The 19778-nt window shown below is 49.0% G+C and overlaps 1 protein-coding gene across 3 annotated transcripts in view, besides 1 other annotated feature; it reads right to left on the reverse strand.

Annotated features, from left to right (window-relative positions):
* Window positions 1–19778, reverse strand: part of HIP1 (huntingtin interacting protein 1) — a 205644-nt gene that overhangs the window by 108724 nt on the left and 77142 nt on the right. The window lies entirely within an intron of this gene.
* Window positions 10810–11104: a silencer, noted in NCBI's record as "tiled region #13243; HepG2 Repressive non-DNase unmatched - State 10:DNaseD". NCBI's record gives its function as "represses a minimal TATA promoter and a strong SV40 promoter by Sharpr-MPRA in HepG2 cells {active_cell/tissue: HepG2}" and the evidence as "EXISTENCE:reporter gene assay evidence [ECO:0000049][PMID:27701403]".

A 19778-nucleotide genomic window follows, 5' to 3' on the forward strand; every position in this document is an offset into this window, starting at 1 on the left:
TTCAGTCTCTTCCTGTCCAATTCATCCTATACACATCTAATTGTGACTCCCTACTGGCCAGCCCATCCCAAATAGAAAAAAAGAAAAAAACAACAGGCCGGGTGCAGTGGCTCATGCCTGTAATCTCAGCACTTTGGGAGGCTGAGGTGGGAGGATTGCTTGAGGCCAGGATTCTAGACCAGCCTGGGTAACAGAGTGAGACCCTGTCTTCAAAACAAAACAAAAAACCCTTCTGGTTGGGTACGACGGTTCACACCTGTAATCCCAGCACTTTGGGAGGCTGAGGCGGGAGGATCACCTGAGGTCAGGAGTTCAAGACCAGCTTGGCCAACATGGTGAAACCGTCTCTACTAAAAATACAAAAATATCTGGGAGTGGTGGCGCATGCCTGTAATCCCATCTAGTCAGGAGGTTGAGGCAGGAGAATCACTTGAACACGAGAGACAGAGGTTGCAGTGAGCTGAGATCGCACCACTGCACTCCAGCTTGGGCCACAGAGTGAGACTCTGTCTCAAAACAAAACAAAACAAAACCCTTCTATGGTTTATTTGGTTCTCAATGCTATAGACATATCTGCCCCCATTCTTGTCTATCCTCTCTCATCCTCCCACCCTGCCCATCCATCAAACTGCTCATCTGTGCCCAGGATGCTCCTGGAAGGTCCTTCCCTCTTCCTGAGCTTAGAAGTGTCTTTCTCATCCTTCAGGACTGACCTCAAATGTTACCTTCCCTGACCCATCGGACACAGCCAGTCCCTTGGGAGTCCCTTCCCACAATGGACAGCCTTGAGCACAGCCTGCATTTCCCTAGGATGGGAGGGTCTGAGCCCAGGACTACCTGGCTCACCTGTGAGCAAACTCAGGCCAAAGTTGGCCTCACTGGTCTTTGCATCTTGAGTGCCCTGGCCCTTACTTCCAGCCGGAATTCCAACCCCACAGCACTCCACGTTTAACATCCACTGAAAAGCACACAACAGGCCTAGAAGGCTCTCAGTTCCTTGACGTAATTCGTACAGAAGGTGAGGTGGGCGTGTCTTGGTAGAGGCTGACACCTACTGGTGAGTCGAGATTCTGCAGCCTAGCCCTAAAGACCACACTGAGGTTTTCACTGCCAGACTCTGGCAAGGCTTTATAGCCTCCTTTAGAGGCATAGAAGTCCATTAATTCCCAGTAATGATATTTAAGATAAAAAATATTGCTTATGAAAGGGCCTTAAGTAACATATGTTACTATGCTAATGCTAGCAGTAGGCGTCTACAGAGGGCTGTAACGTTTACAAAAGGTATTTTTACTCATTATTTCATTTCACCCTTAAAAAGTCAGGAAAGGGGCCAGTTGTGGTGGCTCATGCCTGTAATCCCAGCACTTTAGGAGGCCAAGGCAGGAGGACTGCTTGAGCCCAGGAGTTCGAGACCAGCCTAGGCAACATAGTGAGACCCCATCTCTATTTCCATTTAAATTAAAAGAATTTTTTTAAGTCAGGAAAGGCGTAGAATGGGTATTATTATTACAATGCGTATTTTGCAGGTATTGTGGAAGAGTGCATGGATGAGACCTGGGAAGGGCAGTGGGATGGGAAGGGTTAGTCCAAAGGTTCTGTAACTTTGCCTACAGTGTTTTAATTTTTATAAGGAGAATGTAATGAAATGTTATTACCTGCATAATAGAGATGGCTATTAAAAGAAATAATAGGGTATGGCTGGGCGCGGTGGCTCACACCTATAATCCCAGAACTTTGGGAGGCCCAGGTGGGTGGACCACTTGAGGTCAGGAGTTCAAAACTAGCCTGGCCAGCATGGTGAAACCCTGTCTCTACTAAAAATACAAAAATTAGCTGGGCATGGTGGCAGGCACCTGTAATCTCAGCTACTCGAGAGGTTGAGACAGGAGAATCACTTGGCCCTGGGAGGCGGAGGTTGCAGTGAGCCAAGATCCCGCTGCTGCACTCCAGCCTGGGTAACAAAGTAAGACTCTGTCTCAAACAAACAAACAAACAAACAAAACCAAAACAGAAATAAGAAAGTATGGGTAGGCCCTGGAGGTAGACAGATCTCAAGTTGAATTCTGGCTCCATTTCTTTCTAGATATGAGCAAGTTCCTTAACCTCTCTGAATTTCAGTTTCCTTACCTGAAAAACAGGCTAATAAACATTATTCCTCCCAGGGTCAATGTAAGAATTAAAGCACCCAGCACAGTGGGTGGCTGGCTCTTGGCTCCACACACCTGTCTCTCAGCTTACTTGGTGGCTAGCTCTTGGAAGCTTCTGGATAATTTTGTTTTGTTTTGTTTTTGAGATGGAATTTCACTCTTGTTGCCCAGGCTGGAGTGCAATGGCACAGTCTCAGCTCACTGCAACCTCCGCCTCCCAGGTTCAAGCGATTCTCCTGCCTCAGCTTCCCAAGTAGCTCGGATTACAGGTATGCACCACCACGCTCGGCAAACTTTTGTATTTTTAGTAGAGATGGGGCTTCACCATGTTGGCCAGGCTGGTCTTGAACACCTGACCTCAGGTGATCCGCCTGCCTCAGCCTCCCAAAGTGCTGGGATTACAGGTGTGAGACACTGGCCCTGGCTAAGATAATTTTTTAAAAGATTAAACGTAAGAAAAAAAAGAATAAAAAGCCAGGATAACAGTAGTCATTGTCATTAAAATGACAGCAAATACGTAGGTTTTATGGTGCGGGGGAGGAGCTAGAGTCACTGACCATGCCCAGCTGAGCTGTGGAGGATATTCATCAACCAACACTAGCTGAGTGATTCCTCATCTCCCCATGGGAACGCCTGCAAGCAAAGCCTTAGCCAGGGTGAGGGAGATCCCAGCCAGGCTGTGATCCTGGTGGCTCTGGCACAGAGCATTCTCACCGGGCTTGCCTTGGACAGGAGATGGACTTTTTCAACAAATCCAGGAACCTTCACTTTGACTCAAATGAGAAAAGCCTTTTGCTGCCTCTCTTTCTGGGGGCATGATTACACCCTCAGGAAACACACAAATTCCTAGACCTAGGGCTTAGTTCAGGACACCTGAAAGGTGCAGCGTCACTCAGGAACTAGGAAGGTGGGTGTTGCTGGTGGGAGAGGGGGCACTGTGTCATGCTATGAATCATAATAACAGATAACATTGATCACGTTCTTAGCATAGTACCAGGCACTATGACAAGCACTTTACAAGGATTGTTTATTTTCTTTTATTTTTTATTTTTAATTTATTTTATTATTATTTTTTGAGACGAAGTTTCACTCTTGTTCCCCAGGCTGGAGTGCAATGGTGCAATCTTGGCTCACTGCAACCTCCAACTCCCGGGTTCAAGCGATTCTCCTGCCTCAGCCTCCCGAGTAGCTGGGATTATAGGCATGCACCACCACACCCAGCTAATTTGTGTATTTTTAGTAGAGACGGGGTTTCACCATGTGGGCCAGGCTGGTCTCAAACTCCTGACCTCAGGTGATCTGCCTGCCTCGGCCTCCCAAAGTGCTGTAATTACAGATGTGAGCCACTGCACCCGGCCTGGATTGTTTCTTTTAGAACTAAAAACAGAACTACCATTTGACCTGGCAATTCCATTACTGGGTAGCTACCCAAAGGAAAATAGATCATTCTGCCAAAAAGACACCTGCACTCGTATGTTCATCAAAGCACTATTCACAATAGTAAAGACATGGCATCAACCCAGGTGCCCATCAACAGTGGGTTAGATAAGGAAAAGGTGGTACATATCCAACAAGGAATATTATGCAGCCATAAAAAAGAATGAAATCGTGTCCTTTGCAGCAACATGGATGCAGCTGAAGGCCATTATCCTAAGTGAATTAACACAGAAACAGAAAACCAAATACTGCATGTTCTCCCTCATAAGTGGGAGCTCAACATTGGGTGCAAGTGGACATAAAGATGGGAACAACAGACACTGGGGACTCCAAAAGGGAGGAGGGGACAAGTGTTGAAAAACTACCTATTGGGTACTGTGCTCACTATCCGGATGATGGATCATTAGAATCCCAAACCTTAGCATCACACAATATACCCATGTAACAAACCTGCACATGTACCCCCTGAATCTAAAATGAATTTTTTTTTTTGAGATAGAGTCTCGCTCTGTTACCCAGGCTGGAGTGCAGTGGTGCAATCTCAGCTCACTGCAACCTCCACCTCCCGGGTTCAAACGATTCTCCCACCTCAGTCTCCCAAGTAGCTGGGATTACAGGCACCCGCCACCACGCCCGGCTAATTTTGTGTGTGTGTATTTTTAGTAGAGACGGGGTTTCACCATGTTGACCAGGCTGGCGTCGAACTCCTGACCTCAGGTGATCCACTCATCTCGGCCTCCCAAAGTGCTGGGATTACGAGCGTGAGCCACCTCGCCTGGCCACAGTCATTAAATCTAATGAGCAGCTGTGCAGTGCTTTGCTGACCACAGGGTCTACAAGTGCAAGGCACTCACCTGCAGCGTGCCAGGGGGCATGGCCAGATATTCTGCCTGTGCTGTCCTCTCTGATGCTCCCAGCGAGCTTCACCAATGTGGACACTGAGATAGAGAGACATTAGTGGCTTGCCCGGGGTCTTGCAGGGAGTAACCACGACCGGTCATCCGCCTGCCTGTTCCTTGCTTCCTCCCATATCCGTGGCCCCCTTTCCCCAGGGGTCCACTTGGCACAGCAAGGGCTGAGATCACTTTTGGTTGACAATTTGGCAGCCTTTTAGGAGCGAGGCCATCTGCTGGGATATGTCTGCCCCATGGCACTCTCTGGACACCAGCTGGGGATGTTGGAGCTGCCCCTGGGGAACCCTGAGAGCTGTAGCATAAATGAGTGATGAGGTGAGGCCTGCAGTGCCACTTAGAGCCAGGAAAGGTCAAGTGCTCTGCAATCATCAGGCCCCCTCCAGGACCAATGTCAGACTGGAGAGGGCGGCAGATCCCACAGGGCCCAGGAGCATAGCCCACTACATAAGGTGCCTGGAAGTGGACCCTCCTGGTTAGGAAAGGGCCAGGGCCTCCTAAGAGGGAGGGCTTAGAGGCTCCGAGTACCCCTCTCACTCTGGTACCAACAAAACTGTGCGTGGACATGGCCAGATGTGGTGGCTCTTGCCTGTAATCCCAGCACTTTGGGAGGCTGAGGCGAGCAGATCACCTGAGGTCAGGAGTTTGAGACCAGCCTGGCCAATATGGCGAAACCCCATCTCTACTAAAAATACAAAAAAAAAAAAAAAAAAAAAAAAAAAAAAAAAAAAATTAGCCAGACATGGTGGCATGCGCCTGTAATCCCAGCTACACGGGAGACTGAGGCAGGAGAATCGCTTGAACCCAGGAAGCAAAAGTTGCAGTGAGCAGAGATCGTGCCACTGCACTCCAGCCTGGGTGACAGAGAGAGACTCCATCTCAAAAAACAAAACGAAACAAAACAAAAAACTGTGCACAAACCATGTGCCTCAGCCTCAGTTTTATCCTCTGTGAATCTAGGAGTCTGGTTCTAGTCCTGTTTACCAGTGGCTGCTTTTGGGACTTTCGCTGCTGCTAAGCCATCTCAGAAGTGTGCTTCCCTTCAGAGGAAGGGACACATGAAAGGCGGAATGAGTGGACAGACAATAGTTTCAAATAAAGAGAAACCAAAGTTCTCCCGGAGCTCTCAGGCAATTCACCATGATGCTCTGGGTCAGGGTGTGCATGGCTGCTCCAAGGCCCTGCTGGCCCTGGCAGCAGCTGGTTGGTCTGCAGGGACCTGGACAGACCAGCCAGTTCTGTCCCCATTTAGGGAGGCACCATGCACTTGCACATGTGGACGGAGCTGTGAAAGGGAAGATCATGGGTGCAGTGTGCTTGAAGAGGTGGGGCAGTGGGACTGAACACGAGTGGCAGTGTGACCAAGTGTGAGGCGTGGTGTGAACCAGGTGAGTTCTATGCTGGAAGCAGAGCCATCTCACTGAGCAGATACACAGGGAGGGTGAGGGAGTTCCAGCTGGGCAGGGAGTTCCAGCTAGACCCCTTAGGCCCTCCTGTGTAGGCCACAGAAAGACAGCACAGGCTGCTATGCAGGGAGGGGTATGCTAGCCAGCCAGGCAAAGACAGACTCAGGTGCAAAGCACTGGGCACTTCTTGGCTTTCGGAGCTCCAGCTGAGGCTGGCTGGGGTAGCTGGGGCTGGTTGGAGTAGCTGAGGCTGGTTGGAGTAGCTGAGGGCTGGATGGAGTAGCTGAGAGTGGTTGAAGTAGCTGGGACTAGTTGGAGTAGCTGAAGCTGGTTGGAGTAGTTGGGGCTGGTTGGAGTAGCTGGGGCTCGTCGGAGTAGTTGGGGCTGATTGGAGTAGCTGGGGCTGGTTGGAGTAGATGAGGCTGGTTGGAGTAGCTGGGTCTGGTTGGAGTCACTGGGCAGGGTCATGGAGGAGCATCAAGCCTCAAAGCCCCTGTAGATTCAGTGTTCTCCCTGAACACTCTGCCCCTGATATTACTAGATCTGTTTTTCCTCCTGACACTGCTGTTGCCCCGATATTAAACACAGGTGTCCATGGTCCCTTTCCACAGATTTGACGTCGCAGGGGAAAGGGTGATTTCAAGCACGGCTGAGCCATATGCGGATGCCAGGTGCACCCCCAGAACCTTTCCATTCTGCATGATAGACCCCCTAAGCTGCCGGAAGTCAGGGGCTGCAGAGGTGAGCCAGGAAGACAGAAGCCTGAATTGGGGCCATGGCTTCAAGAAGGGGGCAAGGAGAGACATGAGACGTGCTGTGGGAAGGAAGGCGGCACAGAGACACCCTGCCCAGAGAGCAGACCCTGGGAATGGGAGGCAGTGGGGACATTAAGAGGAATCAGGGTCAGGTTCAGTGACTCAGGCCTGTAATCCCAGCACTTTAGGAGGCCAAGATGGGAGGATCGCTTGAGCTCAGGAGTTTGAGGCCAGTCTGGGCAACATAGTGAGACCTGGTCTCACTGGGACTACAGGTGCATGCCACCATGACTGGCTATTTTTTATTTTTTTCTTAGAGATGGGGTCTCACTGAGTTGTCCAGGCTAGGAACTTTTTTTTTTTTAAGACAGAGTTTTGCTCTTGTTACCCAGGCTGGAGTGCAATGGCATGATTCCGGCTCACCGCAAACTCCGCCTCCCGGGTTCAAGCAATTCTCCTGCCTCATCCTCCCGAGTAGCTGGGATTATAGGCATATGCCACCACACCCAGCTAATTTTGTATTTTTAGTAGAGACGGGGTTTCTCCATGTTGGTCAGGCTAGTCTCAAACTCCCGACCTCAGATGATCAGCCTGCCTTGGCCTCCCAAAGTGCTGGGATTACAGGCGTGAGCCACTGCAGCTGGTCTGGAACATTTTTAAATGAAATCATAGCAAAGCACTTTTCCAATGCTCCTCGCCCTTTGAGTGAACCTAAATTACTATTAGCAGTAGTAGCAGCAATGACCCTGAACACTATTTTCCAAGCACCCACTATGCACAGCCATACCTACCTCTGAATCTGAGAGGGCAAAAATAAAGGAGCCAGACAGAGGGTGGAGGAAAACAGAGGTTGTTATTGCCAGCTGCGGTTCTTCACCCCAGCTGCACACTCCAATTACCTGGGAAGCCTGGGCCCCGCCCCAGGGATTCTGATGTAATGGGTCTGGGATCAGCCTGGGCATCAGAACTTTAAACCTCCCCCAGGAGGCTGTGATGTGTAGCCAAGACTATGAACAACTGAACAACCACAGCCAGGACTCAGGAACCCCCGGCCTGGTCTTGGCTGAAGCTGAGGGCTGCAGGAAGCAAGGAAGTGTGGCACTTCCCTTACTGCTTCTCCTACACGGGGAATTTCCAAGCTCCCACCTGGAATTTTCCATCCCTTGGCCAAAAGTTCAGCATAGGCGGAGACCTCTGAACGCTTTGCCTCTGATATTAATAGACCTGTTTTTCCTCCTGACACTGCTGTTCCCCCCATATTAAACACAGGTGTCCATGGTCCCTTTCCACAGATTTGACATCACAGGGGAAAGGGTGACTTCAAGCGTGGCTGAGCTATATGGAGATGCCAGGTGCACCCCCAGAGCCTAACCATTCTGCAAGATAGACCCCCTAAGAAAAACACCTGGCTTGGTCTTAGGATCTCATGATTAGCTGGCGGGTTCTGGGAAGCAAAGATCTGCCGAATTTCTAAAGCCTCTCCAGGCAGGCTGCGGGAGGCCAGCAGGGGTCAGAGGGCCTTTTAGAGGCACCAGGACAGACGGGAGCCACTCAGCCAAGTCCCTGAGTCAGCAAACAGCCTGGAAACCTCGCCTCAAGGGTGCCCCAGGCTGCCAGAGCTCTCTGCCCCTGCCCGCCAGCTCCTCCCTGTAAGTGGTAATTTGGAGCACCCTTAATGGCCCAGTTCAGGAGCTGCCAGCCTTGTACTGGGGAGAGGTTTTTCCACTGCTTCTCCGCTGGAGGACAAGTCCAGGGATGTGTCTCTGCCCAGTTATCTTTTTTTTTTTTTTTTTGAGACAGAGTCTCCCTCTGTCACCCAGGCTGGAGTGCAATGGTGCGATCTTGGCTCATTGAAACCTCTACCTCCTGGGTTCAAGGGATTTTCCTGTTTTAGCCTCCCAAGTTGCTGGAATTACAGGTGCACACCACCACGCCCATCTAATTTGTGTATTTTTAGTAGAGACGGGGTTTCGCCATGTTGGCCAGACTGGTTTCAAACTCCTCGGCCTCCCAAGGTGCTGGGATTACAGGCGTGAGCCACCATACCCGGCTCTGCCCAGTTATCTCCAAAGCAGTGTCCCAGAAGCATGGACCAGGCTGAGGGCAGGAAGTACCAGCTCAGAGTCGCCTGTAGTGGCTCAGAGCTGGTGTCCCCGCCCTGGGGAGGGTGGCAGCCAAGCTAATTCCATGTTATCACGGCTTACAGGAAGCCAGCTTGGCCCGGCTGTGAGCCAGCAGCAATTTACTGGCCTTGGGGGCAGAGTGAGGGAGAAGAGGGAAGAGAAAGGAAAACACAGCCCTCTCCCCACCACACAAAAAAACTGATTCTGGGTTATTGTTAGGTGCTTATTCATCCCGCACATTTCTTTTTGAGAGCCACGACATGAGCTCTGCAACCAAAGCCATTTAGCAAGAGACAGCTGCCCACACAGGAGGAGGGAGGGGCATGGGGGGACTCAGTCCGCATGAAAACGGGGGAGGGTGAGAGGGTCTTCAAAGACCTGAGGCACAGTGGCTCACACCTGTAATCCCAGCACTTTGGGAGGCAGAGGCAGGCCGATCACGAGGTCAGGAGTTCGAGACCAGCCTGGTCAATATGGTGAAACCACCGTCTCTACTAAAAATACAAAAATTAGCCAGGCATGGTAGTGGGCACCTATAGTCCCAGCTACTCGGGAGGCTGAGGCAGAAGAATCGCTTGAACCCGGGAGGTGGAGGTTGCAGTGAGCCAAGATTGTGCCACTGCATTCCAGCCTGGGTTACAGAGTGAGACTCCATATCTCAAAAAAAAAAAAAAAAAAAAAAAAAAAAAAAGAAGGATTCTCCACACTGTAAAAACATCCCAAGATTCTAAAGCCAAAGTAGGGATGCTGAATGCAGAGTGGTTCTTACATCAGAACCCCAAGTTCAAGTCCTGCCTTCCTATCTGTGTAGCCTTGGGTGGGTCACTGTCAAATTCAGAGGAGGCCCTGGGCGGCAACCCTGGCTGCAACACTTATTCTACGTGTGGCCTTGGGCAAGTCACTCAACTTCTCTGTGCCTCAGTTTCTCTGTCTATAAAACAAGGCTAATCATAGCTACCTCTTGGGGTTGTTTTGACGCTAAGTTAATATTATGGAAAGTATTTAGAAAATTGCCTGCATACCTACTGTTATATAAAGGTTAGTGATTGTTTTTATTAAAGCACTGGGCATGGTGGTGGGCACCTGTAGTCCCAGCTACTCGGGAGGCTGAGGCAGGAGAATCGCTTGAACCCGTGAGGCGGAGGTTGCAGTGAGCTGAGATTGCGCCACTGCACTGCAGCCTGGGCGACAGAGCGAGACTCTGTCTCAAAGAAAAAAAAAAAGCACTATATGAGCCTGGTATGGTGGCTCACACCTGGAATCCTAGCAATTTGGGAGGCCAAGGCAGGTGGATCACCTGAGGTCAGGAGTTTGAGACCAGCCTGGCCAACATGGTGAAACCCCATCTCTATGAAAAATAACAAAAATTAGCTGGGCATGGTGGCGTGTACCTGTAATCCCAGCTACTCGGGAGGCTGAGGCAGGAGAATCACTTGAACCCAGTTGGTGGAGGTTGCAGTGAGCTGAGATTGCACCACTGCACTCCAGCCTGGGTGACAGAGCGAGACTGTCTCAAAAAAAAAAAAAAAACCACTATATGTATGTTAATTTTTTCATTGTTTTAAGTTTACATTTTCATTTTTTAAGAGATGGGGTGTTGCTCTGTCATCTGGAGTGCAGTGGTGCGATTATAACTCACTGCAGCCTCCAACTCCTGGGCTCAAACAATCCTCTCACCTCAGCCTCCTGAGTAGCTAGGACTACAGGTGCGTGCCACTGCTCCTAGCTAATTTTTAAATTTTTTGTAGAAATGGTGTCTCGTTTTTGTTGCCTGGGCTGGTCTTGAACTCCTGGGCTCAAGCAATCCTCCTGCCTTGGCCTCCCGAAGTGCTGGGACTACAGGCATGAGCCACCATGCCCAGCCACATGTTAATTATTACTGTTAGTGAAAAAAAAAAACTCGTTTATAATGCTATATTAGAGTATGGATAGAATGTGAAGATCAGAGCCACAGAAAGTCTGAAGTGGTGAAGAGGTAAAATAGAAAGTCATATTCACAATCGAACTCCTACCAGTGATGAGTGTGGAAGAGGCTTTATATCTTTTTAGATGAGAAAGCTAAAACTTACTTCTCCCCCTGTGAACAGGGCAATACCCACTCTTGAGGGTCATAAAGGGTTAATGCAAACAGAAGCTCCCAGCAAAGCTCACAGGAGGTGCTCCTGAGGTCAGCTGAGTGTGACAGTTAATTCCATGTGTCAACATGATTGGGCCACAGGGTGCCCAGATATTTGGCTAAACAATATATGTGGGTGTGTCAGTGAGGGTGTCTCTGAAAACTCTGGTAAATAACATATATGTTGGCTGCATTCATTAGGATATGTGATTTGGGTAATAAAGGTCTGGGAGAAAAAAAAAAACAAATTTGATCTCATTAAGCAGAGGAATTCCTATTCCTCCCCAGGCTGGGGGTCTGCTCTGGGAATCTCATTGGCAATGAAGCACTTGATGAGATGTGTCCACGACTGTCAGATATCACACACGTCAAGCCTTAGGCACACACTAGTTCTGTAATCTGAGGCATCTTACTCTCTGTGGACCTCAGTGTGTCTATTAATAAAATAGGTATAGACTAGGCATGGTGGCTTATACCTGTAATCCCAGCACTTTGGGAGGCTGAGGCGGGAGGATTGCTTAAGGCCAGGAGTTCGAGACCAGCCTGGGCAACATAGTGAGACCCCCATCTCTACAAAAAATAGAAAAATTAGCGGGCTGTGGTAGTGCATGCCTGTAGTACCAGCTAATCAGGAGGCTGAGGCAGGAGGATCATTTGAGCACAGGAGGTTGAGGCCTTATGCTTGTAATCCCAGCACTTCGGGAGGCTGAGGCAGGTGGATCACCTGAGCTCAGGAGTTTGAGACTAGCCTGGCCAACATGGTAAAACACTATCTCTACTAAAAAATACAAAAATTAGCCAGGCGTTGCGGTGGGTGCCTGTAATCCCAGCTACTTGGGAGGCTGAGGGACCTGTTCTTGGACCACTGAGTGATCGCTGGGGCCAAGGCCTTTGTCTTTCTTGTTCGTGGCTGAATCCCTGCCTCCCGAGCTGTGCCTGGCATGGAGCAGACACTCAGTTAGTACTTGCTGAATGTGTGAGTGAATGCATGCAAGAAATGACTTCACCATGCCAGGCCCTATTTTGAGTGCTGGGCACACAAGGTCTCTGCAGTCTCGAAAACTAGTGGGCACCTCTGGCTTTAGCAAAGGCACTTACAGCCAGGTCACATGCCTCAGTACGCTCTGCAGCAGGGGCACTTACAGAGCACTAATGACACACAGGGAAGCCAAGGTTTCCTCTAAGAAACAGAACATGGCCGGGCGCAGGGGCTCACACCTGTAATCCCAGCACTGTGGGAGGCCAAGGCGGGCGGATCACCTGAGGTCAGGAGTTTAAGACCAGCCTGGTCAACATGATGAAACCCCATCTCTACTAAAAATACAAAAATTAGCTGGGCATGGTGGCGCACGCCTGTAGTCCCAGCCACTCAGGAGGCTGAGGCAGGAGAATCACTTGAACCCGGGAGGCGGAGGTTGCAGTGAGCTGAGTTCGCGCCACTGCACTCCAGACTGAGTGACAGAGTGTCCATCTCAAAAAAAAAGAAGAAACAGAACTAATGTCACATGTCTGATTCATTCATCAAATGTTATGGCTACAGGTTCTTTCCACGGCTCTGTGCTGCCTCTTGCTGTCCTGTTATACAATCCAGTGGTCTGGAGTTCATTTGGCCATCCATCCAACCAACCAGGCCAACCTTCACTCGGTACCACCAGAGGCTGGGTTCTGTGCTCGGCTTCAGAGTGAGAGAGGAATACGGGGAGGTGACTGCAAAACTCGGTTAAGAACAGGGCTCCGTGACTTCTCTTTCCTCCTCCTCCGAGTATCTCCTCTGCAGCTGCTGTGGAAAACAGTTTGAGGGCGCTTCAAAAATTAAACAGGGGCTGGCCACAGTGGCTCACGCCTGTAATCCCAGCGCTTTCGGAGGCCGAGGTGGGAGGATTGTTTGAACCCAGGAGTTCTAGCCTGGGCAACATAGCAAGAGCCCATCTCTACAAAAAATAAAGAAATTAGCCGGGCATGGTGGCACATGCTTGTGGTCCCAGCTACTCTGGAGGCTTAGGCAGGAGGATCTCTTGAGGCCAGGAGTTCAAGACAGCCTGGATAACATACCAAGGCCCCATCTCTACAACAATGATGACAAAAGTTAAACCGAATTACCACATGACCCAGCAATGCCACTCCTGGGCATCTGCCCAAAAGAACTGAAAGCAGGGACTTAAACAAATACTTGCACACCCATGTTCACAGCAGCATTATTCACAACAGCCAAAAGGTGGGGACAGCCCAGGTGTCCATCAACAGACGAATGCATTGACAAAATGTGGTCTATCCACACCATGAAATATTATTCAGCCATAGAAAGGAATGAGGTTCTGATACATAATGCACTGCGGCTGAATTTTGAAAACATTCTGCTAAGTGAAATAAGCCAGACACAGGCCGGGCACGGTGGCTCACGCCTGTAATCCCAGCACTTTGGGAGCCCCAGGTGGGTGGATCACTTGAGGTCAGGAGTTCGAGTCCAGCCTGGCCAACATGGTAAAATCCTGTCTCTAATAAAAATACAAAAAAAATTAGCCAGGTGTTGTGGCGCACACCTGTAATCCCAACTACTTGGGAGGCTGAGGCAGGAGAGTCGCTGAAATCCAGGAAGCGGAGGTTGTAGTGAGCCGAGATCGCACCACTGCACTCCAGCCTGGGTGACAGAGTGAGCTCTGTCTCAAAAAAAAAAGAAAAGAAAAGAAAAGAAAAAGACAAGCAAAGCAAAGAAATAAGCCAGACACAAAGGGATAAATATTGTATGAGTCCACTTATATGAGGATCTAGAATAAGCAAAGTCATGTCAACACAAAGTAGATTATTAGTGAGTAAGAGTTTCTGTTCGGGGTGATGAAATATTATGGAAATAGCAGTGATTGTTGTACAGCATTATAGATGTAATTAATGCCACTGAATTGTATACTTAAAAAATGGTTACAGGTTGGGTGCAGTGGCTCACACCTGTAATCCCAGCACTCTGGGAGGACAAGGTGAGTGGATCACTTGAGGTCAGGAGTTTGAGCCTGGCCAACTTGGTGAAACCACCCATGTCTCTACCAAAAATACAAAAATTAGCCAGGTGTGGTGGTGCGTGCCTGTGGTCCCAACTACTCGGGAAGCTGAGGCAGGAGGATCGCTTGAGCCTGGGAAGTCAAGGCTGCAGTGAGCCATGGTCGCGCCACTGCACTCCAGCCTGGGTGACAGGCAAGACCCCGTCTCAAAAAGAAAAAAAATAAAAATAAAATGGTGACAATGGCAAACTTTATGTTATATGTATTTTACCCCATTTTTTTTTAAAAGCACAAACACACACACACCAAAACACATGGTAGGCATAGACCATGGGTTAGTGAAATAGACCAAATCTATATATTTATCAGAATTTAGTTTATAATAAAGGTGGCATTTCAAATTAGTAGGGAAAGGGCAGGCTATTCAGATGGTACCAAACAGTGAGAAGAAGTTCTCACTCTGGGGGAGAAACATCCTAGCTTGCGTAAGGAGCCAAAGGCACAAAGCAAAACTATAAACTTAGAAAAAAAAAAAAAAGAAAATATGTTTCCAACTTTAGTATTGAGAAGATCTTTTTGATTTTTGAGATGGAGTTTCATTCTTGTTGCCCAGGCTGGAGTGCAATGGCATGATCTCGGCTCACCGCAACCTCTGCCTCCTGGGTTCAAGCGATTCTCCTGCCTCAGCCTCTGGAGTAGCTGGGACTACAGGCGTGTGCCACCACACCTGGCTAATTTTATATTTTTGGTAGAGACGGGGTTTCTCCATGTTGGTCAGGCTGGTCTCGAACTCCCGACCTCAGGTGATCCGCCTGCCTCAGCCTCCCAAAGTGCTGGGATTACAGGCGTGAGCCACTGCGCCTGGCTGAGAAGACTTTGTTAAGCAAGATATAGAATGACTAAACCGTAAAGAAAAATATTTGTCCTGCAGTGGTACAAGTCTCTGAACAGGACAATCTGGCAGGGTCTAATAAATTTCAAATATACACATAGTCTGACCCCCTGGGAATCTATCCTAGAGGAATGTTCCCACAAGTTCACAATGAGCCACGTTCAAGGACATTCCCTGAAGCACTATTCCCAAGGGAAAGGCAAAAACAACTTGAATGTTCCAGCAATAGTAGAAAGTTGACCCGGCAATCCCATTACTGGGTATCTACCCAAAGGAAAATAAATCGTTCTACCGAAAAGACATATGCACATGTATGTTTATTGCAGCACCATTTACAATGGCAAAGACATGGAATTAACCCAGGTGCCCATCCATGGTAGACTGGAGAAAGAAAATGCAGTACATATACACCATAGAATACTACGTAGCCATAAAAAGAACAATATCAGCTGGGCATGGTGGCTCACGCCTGTAATCCCAGCACTTTGGGAGGCCGAGGCGGGCAGATCACCTGAGGTCAGGAGTTCGAGACCAGCCTGGCCAACATGTGAAACCCTGTCTCTACTAAAAATACAAAAATTAGCCAGGCATGGTGGCAGGCACCTGTAATCCCAGCTACTCGGGAGGCTGAGGCAGGAGAATCGCTTGAACCCGGGAGGTGGAGATTGCAGTGAGCCGAGATCCCGCCATTGCACTCCAGCCTGAGGGACAAGAGACTTTGTCTCAAAAAAAAAAAAAAAAAGCAATTAAATTTAAAAAAAAGAACAATATCATGTCCTTTGCAGCCACATGGATGCAGCTGGAGGTTATTTTCCTAAGTGCATTAAACAGAAAAGAAACAGAAAACCAAATATTGCACATTCTCACTCATAAGCGGGTGCTAAACACTCAGTGCACAGACATAATGCTGGGAAGAATAGACCCTGGGGACTCCAAAAGGCAGGAGGGAAGGAGGGGGAGAAAGGCTGAAAAACTACCTATTAATATTGGGTATTATATGGGCGATGGGATCATTTGAAGCCCAAACCTTAGCATCACACAATATATCCATGCGACAAACCTGCACATGTACCCCCTGAATCTAGAATTTAAATACACACACACACACGCACATACACATTTAAATGAAGAAAAATAAAATTAGGATGCTTTTGTACTAAGAAATACTATGCAGTAGTTAAAAAGAATGTGGTTGATCTAAAAATACCAACAGAGAAAAATTTCAAAAATTTCAAAAACAAACTCTACACCCTGGGACACTCCAAAAGGATTTACTTGCTGGCTTACCAATCTCTTCCTCATATTTTTTTTAGACAGAATCTTGCTCTGTCGCCCAGGCTGGAGTGCAGTGTTGTGATCTCGTCTCACTGCAGCCTTCACCTCCCGACTTCAAGCGATTCTCCTGCCTCCCCAGTAGCTGGGATTACACGCATCTGCCATCACACCCAGCTAGTTTTTGTATTTTTAGTAGAGATGGGGTTTCACCATGTTGGCCAGGCTGGTCTCAAATTCCTGACCTCAGGTGATACCCCCCAACCTTGGCCTCCCAAAGTGTTGGGATTACAGGCGTGAGCCACTGTATCCGGCCTCTTCTTCATTTTTTGAAGGAATTCTGGAGGGTGGAGAACAAATCTGCCCAGCTTCAGGACTAGTTTGTGGAGGTCATCTGAAGAGCTGCCAGAATTGAGAAAAGGATTGGAATGTCCTCCCAGCAGCTGAATTTTGCGGGCAGGAAAGGAGGCACAGAGGTCGCTGGGTTTGGGTATTGGCATGTGTGCAGTGGCGGCCAAGGGAGAAAAAGAGGCAGGAAAAAGGCTGTTAAAACAGCAGGAGGCCAGGCGCCGTGGCTCATGCCTGTAATCCCAACACTTTGGGAGGCCGAGGTAGCAGGATCACTTGAGCCTAGGAGTTCCAGACCAGCCTGGCAACGCGGCAAAACCCTGTCTCTAGAAAAGATTAAAAAAAAAATCACCTGTAATCCTAGCTATTCAGGAGGCTGAGGTGGGAGGATCATCTGAGCCTGGGGAGGCTGCAGTGAGCTATGATTGTGCCACTGCATTCCAGTGTGGGTGACAGAGTGAGACGCCATCTCAAAAAAACCACACACATACACACAAAAACAAACAAACAAAGAAAAAACAGGAAGAAAGCAAACTAAGGCAGGACTATGTGAATGTGAAAAGGGCCAGGGCCTACCAAGTACAGTGAAATTCCAATGACTCGCCAGTCATTCACCAGGTGGAAACACATCAAGTGACATTGACGTGTCCTCACACACTGCTTTGGGTCATTTTGTCTCGTCCTACTTCTGGCCAGTCCCAGGGTTGAAAGCTTTATGGCAAACCAGAGCAATCTTGCAAATGGCTTTCCCCCAAATCCTGAAGCCTGCAAAAATGTTTGGCCTTGGGCTCACTAGGTGTCCTAGCATCCCCCACGCTGGTGCCTATAAGACTCCCCTTCTTCTAGCTCCTTCCCAGCTCAGTAAGGGGAGGGAATGCCCATTGCCAGACATGCATCCTTATCTTTAATATTCACAATGCTTTGTGGCAACTACTGTTATTAGAAACATAAGCAGGGCCGGCCATGGTGGCTTACACCTGTAATCCCAGCACTTCGGGAGGCCAAGGTGTGTAGATCACTTGATCGAGATCAGCCTGGCCAACCTGGCAAAACCCCGTCTCTACAAAAAATACAAAAATTAGCCAGGTATGGTGGCGCACGCCTGTAATCCCAGCTACTCGGGAGGCTGAGGCAGGAGAATCGCTTGAGCCTGGGAGGCAGAGGTTGCAGAGAGCCAAGATTGCGCCACTGGACTCCAGCCTGGGTGACAGAGCGAGACTCCATTTCAAAGAGAAAAAAAAAGACAGAAAAAAAGAAAGGTAGGCAAGAACAAGACTAGAAACAGGATCAGACCTGGGGTTACTTGCCTCAAAAACTCACGGTCTTCCTCTTAGCAGATGCTGCTAAGAAAGCATTTTATTGGGTACCCACCATATGCGAGCACTTTTAAGTGCTCCAAGGGATGTAAAATAACTCAGGTTCTGGCCTGGGGGTGGTGGCTCACACCTGTAATCCCAGCACTTTGAGAGGCCGAGGTGGGTGGATCACGAGGTCAAGAGATCGAGACCATCCTGGCCAACATGGTGAAACCCGGTCTCTACTAAAAATACAAAAATTAGCTGGGCATGGTGGTGCGCACCTGTAGTCCCAGCTACTCGGGAGGCTGAGGCGGAAGAATCGCGTGAACCGGAGAAGCGGAGGTTGCACTGAGCCGAGATAGTGCCATTGTACTCCAGCCTGGCAACAGAGCAAGACTCCGTCTCAAAAAACAAAACAAAACACACAAAAAAACTCAGGTTCTGGTGTCAAGACAGCCTAAGTCTACTGCCGAAGTATTTAAGATACGATACGTGGTAAAAAAAAAAAAAAAAAATGGCAGCATGGGCCTGGAGCAGTGGTTCATGCCTGTAATCCCAGCACTTTGGGAGGCTGAGGTGGGTGGATCACTTGAGGTCAGGAGTTTGAGACCAGCCTGGCCAACATGGCAAAAGCCCGTTTCTACTAACAATACAAAAATTAGCTGGGCATGGTGGTGTGCACCAGTGGTCCCAGCTACTTGGGAGGCTGAGGCAGGAGAATTGCTTGAACCCACGAGGCAGAGGTTGCAGTGAACCGAGATTGCACCACTGCACTCCAGCCTGGGCAACAGATTGAGACTCTGTCTCAAAAACGAAAACACACACAAAAAAGGCAGCATGATTACTTGATTGGTAAGAGAAGCATTACCAGAATGCTACAGAGGTTAAGAGCAGGGAGGGAATGCAACCGGTAGACAGGATCAGCAAAATACTATCAAGACGAATAATGTTTGGGGCATATGAAAATAGTAAAGGCACGTGGTTTGTTGGCCTCCTTCCAGCTCTTTCCATCGTGCCCTGAGGAATCCCTCTTGCCATTACAAAAAAAGAAAAAAGCAAACAATGACAAAAAACCAACAATACCGCCAAAGCAACAAAGAACCCCCTTCATCCTCAAAGCCCTCAGCACCCTCTCTCCATCTCTTTGTTTATTATTATAGATAATGGGGAAAGCATAAAGAGGGAAGAGGACCAAAGACATAGCATCGGGGAAGGCCTGCATTTAGGGTGGGAAGAGCAGTCACTGCAGGCAGCAAAAAAAATCAAGAGACACCAAGTAGCCGGCGTGGTGGCTCACGCCTGTAATGCTAACACTTTGGAAGGCCGAGGCGGGAGGATCACTTGAGCCCAGGAGTTCAAGACTAGCCCGGGCAACATGGCAAAATCCCGTCTCTACCAAAAATGCAAAAATTAGGTGGTGTGGGGATGCCCTCCTATAGTCCCAGCTACTCAGGAGGTTGAGAAGGGAGGATCACTTGAGCCTGGGAGGTCAAGGCTGCAGTGAGCCATCTTTGCATCACTGCACTCCAGCCTAGGTGACAAAATGAGACCCTGTTAAAAAAAAAAAAAAAGGCCAGGTACAATGGCTCAGGTCTGTAATCCCAGTACTTCGGGAAGCCAAGGCAGTCGGATCACCTGAGGTCAGGAGCTTGAGACCAGCCTGGCCAACATGGTGAAACCCCGTCTCTACTAAAAATACAAAAATTAGCCGGGCGTGGTGGCGCACACCTGTAATCCCAGCTACTGAGGAGGCTGAGGCAGGAGAATCACTTGAACCCAGGAGGCGGAGGTTGCAGTGAGCCGAGATCATGCCGCTGCACTCCAGCCTGGGCAACAGAGCGAGACTCCATCTCAAAAAAAAAAAAAAAAAAAAAGGGAGGGACAACAAGTAGAAGATAAGGGCAGTGAGGGGCCCTGAAAGAAGGGGGAGTGGGTCCAGTCCTGCCGAGATCCCCAAGGATGCGAAGCAGGGAATGGGGAGCAAAAGGTGCTACAAGTGCTGTTAGGTCCTGATGTCATCTTGGGGGCAGCTACAGCAGAGTAACGCAGGCCTAAGTCCAAATGTGTGCCTTGGAGCCAC

Source organism: Homo sapiens, chromosome 7 (genome assembly GCF_000001405.40).
Source record: "Homo sapiens chromosome 7, GRCh38.p14 Primary Assembly".
NCBI classification, from domain to species: Eukaryota; Metazoa; Chordata; class Mammalia; order Primates; family Hominidae; genus Homo; species Homo sapiens.